Here is a 14,500-nt window from a genome sequence, read left to right as displayed (position 1 = left end):
CTCAATGGCACCTTTCCTTGGAAGAACCAGCCAGCCTTTGCTTTTTCTGCCTGCAATACTCCTGCCAGAACTATTATCCATATACAGAAAGAATGCCTTATTCACCATGGTGGTATGACACTCTGCTTTGCTTCTGGCCAAGAAATTCATTTTACAGCAAATAAAGTTCAGCAGTGGGTTCATGCTCATGGAAATCGTGGGTCTACCTTACCGTCTTGATTATTATAGCTTTATAGAAAGTCTTAAAATCAGATAGTATAAGTCTTCTTTGTTCTTTTTAAAATTGTTCTGGCTATTGTAGATTCTTTGTATTTTCACATAGCTTTTAGAATAAGCTTGTGAATTTCTACCAAAAAAAAAAAAAAAAAAAGAAAACCCTGTTGAAATTTGAATGGGATTGTGTTGAATCTGTAGATGGATTTGGAGAAAATTGGTGTCTTAACAATACTGAGTCTTTCAATCCATGAACATGGCATATCCCTCTATTTATTTAAGTCTTCTTTATTTTATTTCAGCAATATTTTACAGGATTTTATTTTGTTTTTTGTGTTAAAAATTTTTAAATAGAGATGGGGTCTTTCTATGTTGGCCAGGCTGGACTCAAACTCCACTCAAGCAATCCTTCTTCATCAGGCTTCCAAGTAGGTGGGACTATAGGCTCATGTCACCATGCCCGGCTTACAGCTTTTTGTATATAGGTCTTGTGTCCACATTTTGTTAAATCCAGTCCTAATTATTTTAAAGTTTGTGAGGCTATTGTATAAATGGTATATTTTACATTTTCATTTCCCTATAGTTTATTGTCAATATGTAAAAATCAATTGATTTGATTTTGTAATTTATGATATTGACTTTGTAATTTATGATTTTTATAAGTTTTCTTATTTTAGTAGTTTTTTGTATTTCTTAGGATTTTTACACACAAATATAATTGTGTCCTCTGCAAAAATGGTTTTACTTCCCTCTTTCCAATCTGTTTGTTTCTTCTTCCCTTCCTTTTCTTTTGTTCTTTCTTTCTTTTTCTTTCCTCTTTCTTTCTTCCTCTCTCTCTTTTTTTCTTTCTTTCTTATTAAATCTTTTCATTTCCATAGGTTAATGGGGAACAGGTGGTGTTTGGTTACATGAGTCAGTTCTTTAGTGGTGATGTGTGAGATTTTGGTGCACCCATCACCCAAGCAGTATTTACTGAAACAAATTTGTGGTCTTTTATCCCTTACCCCCTTCCCACCCTTTCCTGTTGAGTCCCCAAAGTACACTGTATCGTTCTTATACCTTTGCATCCTCATAGCTTAGCTTCCACAAATGAGTGAGAACATATATTTGGTTTTCCATTCCTGAGTTACTTCACTTAGAATAACAGTCTCCAGTCTCATGCAGGTCACTGTGAATGCCATTAATTCATTCCTTTTTATGGCCGCGTAGTATTCCATTGTATATATATACCACAGTTTCTTTATCCACTCATTGATTGATGGGCATTTGGGTTGGTTCCATGTTTTTAAAATTGCAAATTGTGCTGCTATATCTTTTGTATGTGTACAAGTATCTTTTTCATATAATGACTTCTTTTCCTCTGGGTAGATAGCCAGTAGTGGGATTGCTGAATTAAATGGTAGTTCTACTTTTAGCTCTTTAAGGAATCTTCACAGTGTTTTCCATAGTGGTTGTACTAGTTTACATTCCCACCTGCCTCAAAGGTCTCTGAAATGCCTTGGAGGCTTTTTCCCCATTGCCTTGGATATTAGCACCCGTCTCCCTTTTAGTTATGTAAATATCTCTAGCAAGTGGTTGCTCCATAGAGACTGGTTAAATACTTGTTACCAAAAGGAAGTATCTCTAGTAAGTGGTTACTCCATCGCCTGCTTGGATTCTTCCCTTGAAAAAGCTTTTTCTTTCTTTGGCACATGGCTAGGCTGAAAAATTTCCAAACTATTATGCTCTGCTTCCTCTTTAAATATAAGTTCCAACTTTAAGTCATTCCTTTGCTCCCACATCTGAGCTTATGTTGTTAGAGGCAGCCATGCCACTTCTTAAACACTTTGGTGCTCAGAAATTTCTTCTGCCAGATAACGTAGATCATCACTTTGACATTCAAACTTCCATAGATCCCTAGCGCATGGACACAATACTGCTAAGTTCTCTGCTAAGGCATAACAAAGGTGACATTTGTTCCATTTCCCAATAAGTTTGTCATTTCCATCTGATACCTCATCAGCCTGGACTTCACTGTTCATATCACTATCAGCATTTTGGTCACAAGTATTTAACCAGTCTTTAAAAAGTTCCAAATTTTCTCTCATCTTTCTCTCTTCTTCTGAGCTCTCCAAACTTTTCCAACCTCTGCCCATTACCTAGTTCCAAAGCTGCTTCCACATTTCCAGGTATCTTCATAGCAGTGTCCCACTCCTTGGTACCAATTTTCTGTATTAAGCAATTCTTGTATTTCTATAAAAATACCTGAGACTGGTTAATTTATAAAGAAAAATGGTTTAATTGGCTTATAGTTCTTCAGACTGTACAGGAAGCATAGCACTGGCATCTGCTTCTGGGGAGGTCTCAGGAAGCTTACAATCATGGTGAAAGGTGAAGCAGGAGCATGTGTCTCACATGGTGGGAGTAGAAGCAAGAGAGAGTAGGGGAGGTGCCACACACTTTAAACAACCAGATTTTGCAGAGAAAGCACCAAGCTATGAGGGATCCACCTCCATGACCCAGACACCTCCCACCAGGCCTGACTTCCAACACTGGGGATTTTATTTCAACATGAGATTGGGGTGGGGACAAATATCCAAACTGCATCAACCTCTGATGTAAAAATCCAATAATCAAGCAGCAATATTTTAAGTGCAGCACAGAGTCTTCCATGTCATTATTTACAAGACCTGAATCTCTTTACATAATAACAAAATTGAATACAGACTTAGCCATTAAGTCCATTTAAAAAATCTGTCCTTTTACATGGTGACAGATTTCATTTTTTGTTATCTTTCTCTTTATCTTTTGCTCTTCTTTGACTTCCTTTTCTTATGTCTGTGTTTTTTGGCTTTTTTCCAATTCCCCTGCAGTACCTGCATGTATGGTTTTTTTTTTTTTTTTTTTTAATGTTTCTTGTGCTTTTCCTTTTCCTACTTTTTATTATTCTTCCTGCTATTCTAACTTTCTGCAGAACTGGCCCTGCTGCTATGGCCTCAAGTCTGGCCTCCAGAAGGGCTCTGACTTCTGCTCGGACTCTGGCTCCTCCTATGCCTACCTGGCCAACTGTGTCCAGGCTTTCTTTTGCTTTCTCCTGCTTTCTCCATTATCTTATCTTTCAGGACCTTAGAAGTGTTTCCTGAAGTTTCCTCATCTTTTACAGATACATAACTTCCACTGTCACTTTCATTATAATCTGGCTCAAAAGCAGCTTCATCAGTGTCTCTAGTTAAGTCAGGGGACAGTCGAGAGGAGTGACTTAACTGGGGTTTAGGGTTGGTAGCATTCTTCTCAACTTGCCCAGTAATTTGCTCTTTCTCAATTTGTGTGCCTGGTGGAATAACAATATCAAGTAACTGATTGCCACTTGACTCTTTGTTGTTCTTTGCTTCTAATATATGTGTCTCATGATCTTCACAAAGACTTTTATCTACAAATTTTGCCCCTTACCTTGAGTGTTTAGTATCATAAGTGGCTTTGTGATCATGAGGTCTTTTGGTCTCTTGAGTGACTAGAATTACTTTTTTTTTGGAATCTCCTCTGCCATTTTTAAGAAACTCTCTTTCCTCCATCAGCTTAGTTTTCCGTTCAGATCAGAAGCTATAGTTTATTGTTGTTGTTTTTATTTTTTATTTTTTTCATGCTTTGTACATACTTTTTATTTGTTGAATAAATGAATATTTGTCAATATGTACATAACCACATAGAGCGAGCATTAGATTTAGAGAGCAAAATATTTGGGTTCTAATATGCAAAGCCACTTACCAGCTATGAGGGCTTCAGCAAAGAACTGAATCTGAGCTCAGCTTCCTCAACTGTAAAACTAGGTTATTTGGACCTATGTGGCCTACCACACAGGCTTATTGCAAGGTTCAAATGCAGAAACATATGAAAGTGCTATGAATACAACTTAGAGCAATACAAACATAACAAGTAATAGCAATGGAATTTCAAGCTGAAATTCACACCCTTGGATTGTACCGATGTACTGATGGAGTCAATGAGAAAGTGACAAAATAGCTGATTACTAATGAGAGAGAACATGCCATTCTTCTGAGTGGGAAGGATTCTGCAACATCCTGTAGCTTGTCCCTGCAATTAGTCACTTCCCAAACTTCACAAAGATGTCAGAGACTCACAATCAATAACTCTCTCACAGAAGCACATGGGCCAAATGTCCCACGTTTATTTACATATGAAATGTGTTTCACACAGTTATTATGGATGGAGTGCATAACACCTGACAGCAGCAAGACCTTTTGAGGAACCGAACGTTGACTACAGTAGATCATGCAAGTATCTATAGATACACAAAAGAATTCCTTTTCTTAACAACAAAAAAAAGTACAAAACATGTTCAGGGATAAATGTAAGATATGAAATGCAAAATAAAACACAAAACAAGCCTGGGCATGGTGGCTCACACCTGTAATCCCAGCACTTTGGGAGGCTGAGGTGGGCAGATCACGAGGTCAGGAGATTGAGACCATCCTGGCTAACATGGTGTATCGGGGGACCTGCCCTGATAATCACGTAGGTTCTTTTCTATTTTCCTAAGCGTCAGCTGGCTTGAGAAATAAAGGGACAGAGTACAAAAGAGAGAAATTTTAAAGCTGGGTGTCCGGGGGAGACATCACACGTTGGTAGGATCCGCGATGCCCCACAAGCCACAAAAACCAGCAAGTTTTTATTAGGGATTTTCAAAAGGGGAGGTGTGCGAATAGGTGTGGGTCGCAGACATCAAGTACTTAACAGGGTAATAGAATGTCACAAGGCAAGTGGAGGCAGGGCAAGATCACAGGACCACAGGACCGAGGCGAAATTAAAATTGCTAATGAAGTTTCAGGCACCATTGTCATTGATAACATCTTATCAGGAGACAGGGTTTTGAGATCAACCTGTCTGACCAAAATTTATTAGGCGGGAATTTCCTCTTCCTAATAAGACTGGGAGCACTATGGGAGACTGGAGTTTATTTCACCTCTGCAATCTCGACCATAAGAGACAGGTACGCCCCGGGGGGGCCAGTTCAGAGACCTACCCCTAGGTGCGCATTCTCTTTTCTCAGGGACGTTCCATGCTGAGAAAAAGAATTCAGCGATATTTCTCCCATTTGTTTTTGAAAGAAGAGAAATATGGCTCTGTTCTGCCCGGCTCACCGGCAGTCAGAGTTTAAGGTTATCTCTCTTATTCCCTGAACAATTGCTGTTATCCTGTTCTTTTTTCAGGGTGCCCACATTTCATATTGCTCAAACACACATGCTGTACAATTTGTGTAGTTAACGCAATTATTACAGGGTCCTGAGACGATATACATCCTTCTCAGCTGACAGGATTAAGAGATTAAAGACAAGACAGGCATAGGAAATCACAAGGGTATTGATTGGGGAAGTGATACGTGTCCATGAAATCTTTACAATTTATGTTTAGAGATTGCAGTAAAGACAGGCATTAAGAAATTACAAAAGTATTAATTTGGGGAACTAATAAATGTCCATAAAATCTTCATAATCCATGTTCTTCTGTCATGGCTTCAGCAGGTTCCTCCGTTTGGGTTCCCTGACTTCCCGCAACAATGGTGAAACCCCGTCTCTGCTAAAAATACAAAAAAAAAACTTATCTGGGCGTGGTGGCGGGCGCCTGTAGTCCCAGCTACTCGGGAGGGTGAGGCAGGAGAATGGTGTGAACCCGGCGAGCAGAGCTTGCAGTGAGCCAAGATCACTCCACTGCACTCCAGCCTGGGCGACAGAGCAAGACTCTGTCTCAAAAAAAAAAAAAAAAAAAAAAAAAAGAAAACACGAAACAAAACCAAAAAATAGAACTCTCTCAGAGAACTATAAACGGAAGGGACAGAAGAGTACCTCTGCTGCATTTTAATAAAGCAGAACTACCGACGTTAAATATACTTCTTGAAATGGCTGAACTAAACCCGGGTGGCCCCGCGCTTAAGGTAACGGCCAATTGCAATACACAGGCGGCTGCATTGAGAAGTCAGTGGTTGACGTTGTGCATCCCAACTCTAAGTATCAGAACATTTGGCAGTAGCACCTAGAACAGGCAATGCCAACTCTTTTGACAGCAAAGGGTTAAGTCAACTGATTTTTTTTTCTGTCAAGAGCCAGAGAAATACTTGATATTCTTAGTTGTGTTTCTGTAATAGTTAATAAATTACATGACAAAAACCTGACTATATAAATCTATTGGTCTAACTACGTATTTGTAACTTTTATAGTAGTCCAGCCCTTTCGTTACTTTCCCTCCTTGTGCTTTTAAAGCCAGCCTTGCAGATCTGCCTAGAAAACCAGTCCCATTTTTTTCTTTAGAACAGCCTTCCCCATGCCCCAAAATGGAATTGAGGAAATCAGCATTCCTTATTAGATTCCTGGCTTCAGTTTTTATCCACGGCTGGGAAAGGAGCGACCTGCAAGGCTGCTTTAAACACCCTTCGCATGGCCTGAAGAAAAAGGCACGCCCACACTGGAGTGCAGTTGTCTCACATGTGAGCTCACTCCTTCAGGGCAGGCACATCGAGGAAGTGCTAAGACACTTAAAAGTTCCTAGGGTTTTTGAGACCCACAATTACTTACAATTTATGTAGTGTATTCTAAAAATTAAAAACACTAAAAAAGGCATTATTTTAGCCTGTAATTAGTTAACCTCTTCAAAATCCAAACATACAAAATGGTTTATTTGAATTCAGGAGCTGCCCCTGTTACTAAGAACTCTGTTTTAAAGAAACAGTACAAAAAGAAAAATTCTGACCCAAAACAACTCAAATCGTTTGCCACTAAATACTGATACAAATGTGTAACAAACAGTATAAAAAGTTATTCATTTAAATCTATACAAACTCTTTGAAACTCAAATACTGTTTTACTACTTATCGAGGATATATACAACGAGGTGAAGGAAGGTACGTTGAAAGAGAACATATTGCAACAGCCTAGACAGTACTGTTTATTATACTGCAAACTTTTTGTAACAAAAATATCTTTTTTATTCCAATGTGGACAGGGATTTTCCTCATGTACCTTCTGTGGCTATTTCTTGGCTGAGCTCATCCTTTTGGATTTGATGAAGGCCATGCCATGTATCCGCATGTGAGTATTTAAGGCAGCTTCAGTTTCAAAAGTTTTCACGCACACTTTGCACTTTCTGTCTGACACGGTGCCATTGGGGGATTCATCCTCATGGCTGGGTTTGTTCTCCTGTTGGTTATCTTCCCCAGCTCCATTTTGCTTGGACACTGGCTGAGGTTCCTTTAACTTGTGTACAATGAAGAGGTGCCTGGACAGAGAGACGTGAGACGTGTACCAGAGGCCACACTCCTGGCACTGGTAGGAAGAACTATCAGATTTGTGCTGAGGGATGTGTTCGTGGAACTGAAGCAGGTTTTCGGTGGTGAAGCCACACATGGCACTCTTGAGAACCTTAAAAACATTGATTTTCAGCTTTTTCAGTGGTTGAGTGATTGCTCCTCAGGAAGGCCTGAGCTCCAGAACTGGTTCTTCCAACTTCCACTTGGGACTGGGGAACTTGGTGTCTTCTTTTATTTCTGTTTCCTCCTCATTGGTGGCATCTGTCATTTCTTTCAGGTCAGGGTCCTTGAGGCTGTGCATCAGCTGGACGTGCTTCTCTAGCATCAATCGTTTGGTAAAGGTACGTCTGGAGTCTGGGCAGTGCGAGCAGGCATACACTTTCCTGATGCCTTTGTGCTTGATCCGGTTGTGCTGGCACAGGCTGTGGGATGAGCTTGTCACACTGGCGGCAGGGATGTTTCTTCATTTGCTTCCCTTGCTCCTTCCTCACGTGGGATATGTACACATCTCTCTGAATGAACAGGCGGTCACACTCCCAACACGTCCACCCAGGACTGGCCACTTTCTTGGTTTCCACTGATTTTTTCACAGGAGATGGAGATTTCTTTTCCAATTTCTCTTTCCCATTCATGGATTTGGTGTCCTCTTTGTTCTGATTTGCTGAATTTTGAGTTGCAGGCTTAATGCTCAAAGGCAAGTTTATACCCAAGTTTGGAGGCCCTTCAATACTTTTCAATGTTCCATGCATAGACTTGATATGGTCCATCATAAGTTGCTTCTGTGCATATAAAAGATAACAGTCTGGACACTTGAAAACAGACAACTTCTGGTTTTCAATGTGTTGGTCAAAGTGGCGATACAGCAAGGTTTGCAGGGTGAACACAGTGTCGCACATGGAACACTTATATATTATTTCTGGTTCTCCTATCTTGATGCCAGGATGCTGTGTGTAGGTGTGGGAATGTGTGCTTGGGGCGGACTTACATGCCATTGGACAAATAGGACACTTGTAGAAGACTTCACAGTGAGAACCTTGAATGTGAGACTGCAGGGCAGCCACATCAGAGTATACAACATTGCAATGCACACATCGAAAACCAACTCTCCTCATGTAGTGCAGACAGTTCTTGGTGACATGGGTCTGGAAGTGCACCGACCTGCAGATGGCCCCGCACTCAGGGCAGGTGTAGAGAGATTTGTGCTGATGGATTCTCTGGTGTGATGCGTAACTGCACTGGTTAGGAAGCAGCATCTGGCAGATAGTGCAAGTCTTTTGTCCACGTGTATCTGCAGCCTGCTGGAAATGTGTAGCCATTGATGTCTCATACTGAAGACTTCATTACACTCCAAACATTTTAGACTATGTCTACACACTTTGGAGGGGTCTTCATCTAGGGGCATGGCTGGGGTGATGGGAATGCTTAAAGGAGCCGATATGACTGTCCCAGTTATGCCAGACTGAATTTTTGTGACAGTGTGTGTGCCAGCTCCCACAGGGCTCTGAAGAGTGGAAGTTGAAGTGGAAATATTGCTTGATGGAGAAACTATCATTTGACCTGCTGGGACTGGCTTTAAAATGAAGTGGGAGCATTGTATTACCACCCCTTTCTCCTTATGCCCACGGGCATGGGAAAGGAGGCTGCATTTGTTGTAAAAAATGAGGTTCTTTGTACCATGGTTGCATGTTACTTCGATGCGCATGCTCTGTCTGTCATAGTGCTGGGTCAGACTCTTTTCAACTGCAAAGGAGTCCCCACACTCCAAGCACTTGTACCCACGCGTTGGTAACGTGATCCCTGCATTGGTGGGAGGACTCAGGTTTGGAATGTAAACAGGGACTGGATTGACACTGCTCAGCACCTTGTTGAAAGCTTCCACCACAGAACTCTGCAAGGACGACACCACCTGGACTCGAGACACCTTTTTGGGGGGTTGCGAGGCTGCTGCATTGATTATTGCCTGCTTTATTTGTTGCTGAGCTTTGGTTAGCACTTGGCGGAGTTCAGAGGTGGCCTGGGCACCCTGAGGCAAAAGGTTAATGTTGGCAAGGTGCACAGTCTTTGGCACGAGTTTGGCGTTGGCCCGGCTGGGTGCCGGCACCACGACAGTTTGCTGCTGGATGGCGTTGGCGGCTTTAATGATGGCGCTGCTGGCGCTCTGGACAGAGGCAGCAGATATGACTGTGGCTTTCACTGTGGTGTTGTTAGCGAGCTTCAAATTAATGACTCGGGATCCTGCCGTCTTCACTTTCGTTCACAGCAGACACTGGGAGGAAAGCAGTAGCCACAGGCTTGATTGTGACCTGTTTAGGGGTGAGCTCTGCAGGTGAAACTGCATTGGTCATGACCGTGGACTGGAGAGGCGCCCTGAGGAGAGAGGAAAGGATGGCAGCTGATGCTGGAGATGACAGAAGGAATGTCACAGAGGCCATCACAGACGCCGTCTGCTCAGAAGATTTCTTCCCAGAGTCAAGATCCACTTCTGGCAATACCCTGGTCACTGTTCTCTTGATTTCCCCAGAAGACATCTTAATGGTTTTTATGCGGACTTTGAGGATTGCTGGTGCGGACCCTGCAGGAGAGGACGGGGAACTCTTGCTGCTGTTCTCACTTGAGATGCTTCTGGGATTATCCGGTTGCTTTAGGGATGGTTTTTTTGGTCCCGTTTATGAGATTCTGGGATTCAGGAGACTTGTCGGTGGCTCTCGGACTGTCGTTTACTTCTTCTTCTTCTTTTTTTTTTTTTTTTTGAGACAGAGTCTTGCTCTGTCACCCATGCTGGAGTGCAGTAGCGTGATCTCGGCTCACTGCAACCTCCGCCTCCCAGGTTCAAGCGATTCTCCTGCCCCAGCCTCCCAAATAGCTGGGATTACAGGCGCGCACCTCCATGCCCAACTAATTTTTGCATTTTTAGTAGAGACAGGGTTTCACCATGTTGGTCAGGCTGGTCTCGAACTTCTGACCTCATGATCCACCCGTCTTGGCCTCCCAAAGTGCTGGGATTACAGGCATGAGCCACCGCGCCTGGCTGTCATTTACTTCTTTTGGTAATGGGGAGGATTCCCTCGAATTGGCCACTGGTTCTTTGCAGGAGTCTGAAGCCGCCTTTTTAGCGCTGAGAGCCATGATGGCAGAGCTGCAGGATGAGAGCTTGGAGGATGACTTTGTCTTTGATGGCGCAGTGCCGGGGAGGCAGGTGTCATTCTTCTCGGAGCTCAGCTTCCCATCCAGGACTCTGTTTTCCAGCACATTGTCAGAGTTTTCCTTCAATTTATCCTCTGCTTTTCTGACTTTAAAAGGTTCATAAACACTCAGGTTTATAGAATTGGCTTCTGCTTCTCTCTTAACAACTTTGTTTTTCTCCATATTGCCTGATGGAGAGAGTCCAGTTTTACTGGAGTTTTCCCCTCCAAATGCCTTCAGCTTATCATAGTCCTGCTGGGGAGCCGACCCTGTCAACACGTTCGACCTGAAGCTTGATTGCACGTCCTCCTTGTCAGGGGGTCATCCACCTTGATCTTCTCGTCGTCACCACACTCTTCAGCACTAGAGATCGGACTAAACTGGCTGAACGTCGAGTCTTTCGAAGTCACCTCAGAGGCAGGCACATCTCCTTTCAAGGACTTCGCTCCATCTTTACTGTAACTGTCAAGGGAGGACGCTGTGAGAAACCCATTATGTAGGCCATTGCCAGTGGGGTTGTAGCCGTCTTTCTCCCCGCCCTCTGTCGCCCAGGCTGGAGTGCAGTGGTGCAATCTTGGTTCACTGCAACCTCCACCTCCTGGTTTCAAGTGATGCTCCCACCTCAGCCTTCCAAGTAGCTGGGACTATAGGCATGTGCCACCACATCCAGCTAATTTTTGTATTTTTTATAGAGATGGGGTTTCACTATGTTACCCAGGCTGGTCTTGAACTCCTGGGCTCAAGTGATCCTCCCACCTTGGCCTCCCAAAGTGCTGGGATTACAGGTGAGCCACCGTGCCTGATAAGAGTTTTTTTTTTTTTTTAATGTTATAAACACCTATTTCTGTTAAGTTTTTTCACATCTCTCAAGATTATGATTTTTCTCTTTTATCCTATTAATGTCACGAATTACACTAATTTTTCAAATATTAGACCAACTCTGCATTCTGGGATAAGTGCCGCCCCCCTCCAAGTCACATGTATTATCCTTTTTCTATATTACTATGTTTGATTTGCTAATATTTTGTTAAAGATTTATATTAATAAGAAATACTATTAGCCTGTAGTTTTCTTGTAATGACTTTGTTTTTCTTATCAGGATAATACTGGCATCATAAAATGATACAGGAAATATTCTCTCCATCTGTTTTTTGAAAGTGTTAGTGTGATATTGGTGTTATTTTCTCCTTAAATATTTTATAAACTTCACCAGTGAAGTGATCTGTGTTGGTATTTTCTTTGTGAAAAAAACATTTTAAAACTACAATTTCTATTTCTTTCATAGATATAGTATAACTTAGATTATCTCTTCTGTCATTTTTGTAATTTGCTTCTTTGAAAAAATGGATAATTTCATTATATCCATAAATGTATTTGCATATGTTTGTTTATATTATTCCTTTCTATCATTTTAATGTTCATAGGACTTGTAGTTATGTCTCCTTTTAAACTTCTGATATTGGTAATTTTTGTTTTTTCTTGAGCAGTCTAAAGGTTTATCAATTTTATTATACTTTTAAAAGATACAGCTTTTGCTTTAATTGGGTTATCTCTGCTGTTATCCATTTTCTATTTCATTATTCTTATTCTCACCTTGATTTTATTCTTTTCTTCTATTTATTTTCAGTTTATTCTATCTTTCTAGTCTTTAATGTGGAAGCTTAGATGATTGCTTTTAGACCTTCCTTCTAAGTACCACTTACCTGTTCTACAAATGTCTTTTTGTTCTCCTTTTGCAGTCCTAATTGTTCTATTTGTCCCTGGAGGGCACTGGGCGTTTCAAGTGTCCTGCAACTGAAGCTACCTGCATTAGACTCTTCATCAGATTTTAAAAAGGGTTTGTGACCAGAAAATTTCAGACTATTTGATACCAATTAAGTATAGATTTTTAGGTAATTTCTTACAGAATCTATCAATTGTACACTTCTACATAATAAGGCCTAGAGCAGTTGACTGAACATTGTGGGGAAAGAAGATGTGTGTTTCATCTTTTTAATTCTCTTTCTCTCCCACTTCAGGAGAATCGTTGCTGCATAAGGCCTCTCGGGTCAGTGCCGTTTCCCTCCTATTTTTCTTTATGTGAAATAGCATAAATTCTGGCTGTGCCCAAGTTTGTTGGTGAGCAGAAAGTCAAACTCTCCCTTCAGACTCAGTAAGTTTGTTAGAAAAACTGATTTCTGGATTTGGTTCTAGTCTAGCACAGATTAAGAAGTAGAAATATGTTGAAATGAGGATAAAGAGCATTTTAAATGAAAACAGAGATCCAGTATGATGAAATAGGGGTAAATTCTTTTTTGCTTCATTTTCCTCCAATTTCATTTTAAAACAGGTGATTTTTTTAAAAGAAGATGTTTTTGTTCCAGTGGGCATTTGATGCATTAGCCTTCCTGGGCCTTCCCAGCAGGGATATAGACCTAGCTAAATGACCTGGTGGTATTTTCTCTGAGTCAAGTTAGCATTAAATATGGTCCCTGGATATGGAAAGGGATGGATAATCTAATAGTCTACAGATGTCAGAAACTTTATTCTCACCTTTTCTCTTCATATTTTAAATGTGTAAGTCTTTTTGAAAAACATTTAGACTGCCACCTCCAATTAGGATATAGAAAGTTTCAAGAGATCATTGCTCTCACTGAAATAATGTGAGTAAGCTGGATAAGCTACAGAAGCATAGTTGTTAAAAACCCAAGCTGAGGATAAAGAAGTGGAAATAAACTAAATTCCATAGTGCAAAGAGCCCTTGCTAGGAAAGTGAGACCCAAGGCTGCTTTCCTCATAGGGGTATGGTGGATGGAAGATTGAACCCACTATAGATGGGAATTTTTGCAGATGCAAGGAGAAACTAGCTGAACTTTTAACAAATTTGCATGAGCTGGCAAAATGTATTAAAATCCCCCAAAGTCCCAAATACAAAATGACATCTATATGCCAGTTCTCATCTACAGGGTCTTCACCAACTTCATAGCCCTGTCCTGGTAAAGGCTAAGGACAGGAAATGAGGGTAAAGAGATTTCTCTAGGACCATCCACCCATCAACTCTTCCTAAGTCTTCACTGAGAACCTGGCAGCAGGAGGAACAGGGAAGGGAGAATTAAGAGAGACTTGCTCAGGGCACACCTGCCCACTAATTCTTTCCAAATGTGCACATAACTAAATAGAGAAGACATGTTTATAAAAAGCAGGAAGGGCTGGGTGCGGTGGTTCATGCCTGTAATCCCAGCACTTTGGGAGGCTGAGGTGGGTGGGTCACCTGAGGTCAGGAGTTCGAGACCAGCCTGGCCAATATGGTGAAAGCCCATCTCTACTAAAAATACAAAAATTAGCCAGCCGTGGTGGTGCACACCTGTAATCCCAGCTACTTGGGAGGCTGAGGCACGAGAATTGCTTGAACCTGGGAGGTGGAGGTTGCAGTGAGCCAAGATTGTGCCACTGCACTCCAGCCTGGGCAGCAGAGTGAGACTCTGTCTAAAAAAAAAAAAAAAGCAGGAAGATGTAATGAATAATCAAGAGAAAGAAAAACAACAACAACAACAACAACAACAAAAAAACAGAATGAGGAATGACCCAGATGTTGAAATCAGCCGACAAAAACTTTAAAATAAGTATTACAACTCTGTTAAAATATTCACTGGAAAAGCCAAGCAAAATGTGTGAACAGATTGTAAATTTCGGCAGGAAATCTGAAACTCTACAAAAGAATAAAATGGGAATTCCAGTACTGAAATGAAAAATTCATTTGAAGTACTTATCAGCAGACTGAATAGAGCACAAGGGAAGATCCATAAACTTGAAGATAGGTTAATTAAA

At 41.3% G+C, this 14,500-nt stretch overlaps 2 pseudogenes; both read right to left on the bottom strand.

The window, feature by feature from the left end:
- Nucleotides 2,798–3,834, bottom strand: RBBP6P1 (RBBP6 pseudogene 1; annotated as a pseudogene).
- On the bottom strand, nt 7,036–11,235 carry LOC399783 (zinc finger protein 532 pseudogene; annotated as a pseudogene).

Source organism: Homo sapiens, chromosome 10 (genome assembly GCF_000001405.40).
Source record: "Homo sapiens chromosome 10, GRCh38.p14 Primary Assembly".
NCBI lineage: Eukaryota > Metazoa > Chordata > Mammalia > Primates > Hominidae > Homo > Homo sapiens.
The sequence above is the reverse complement of the archived record's forward strand: the minus strand, read 5'-3'. Positions and strand labels throughout refer to the sequence as shown.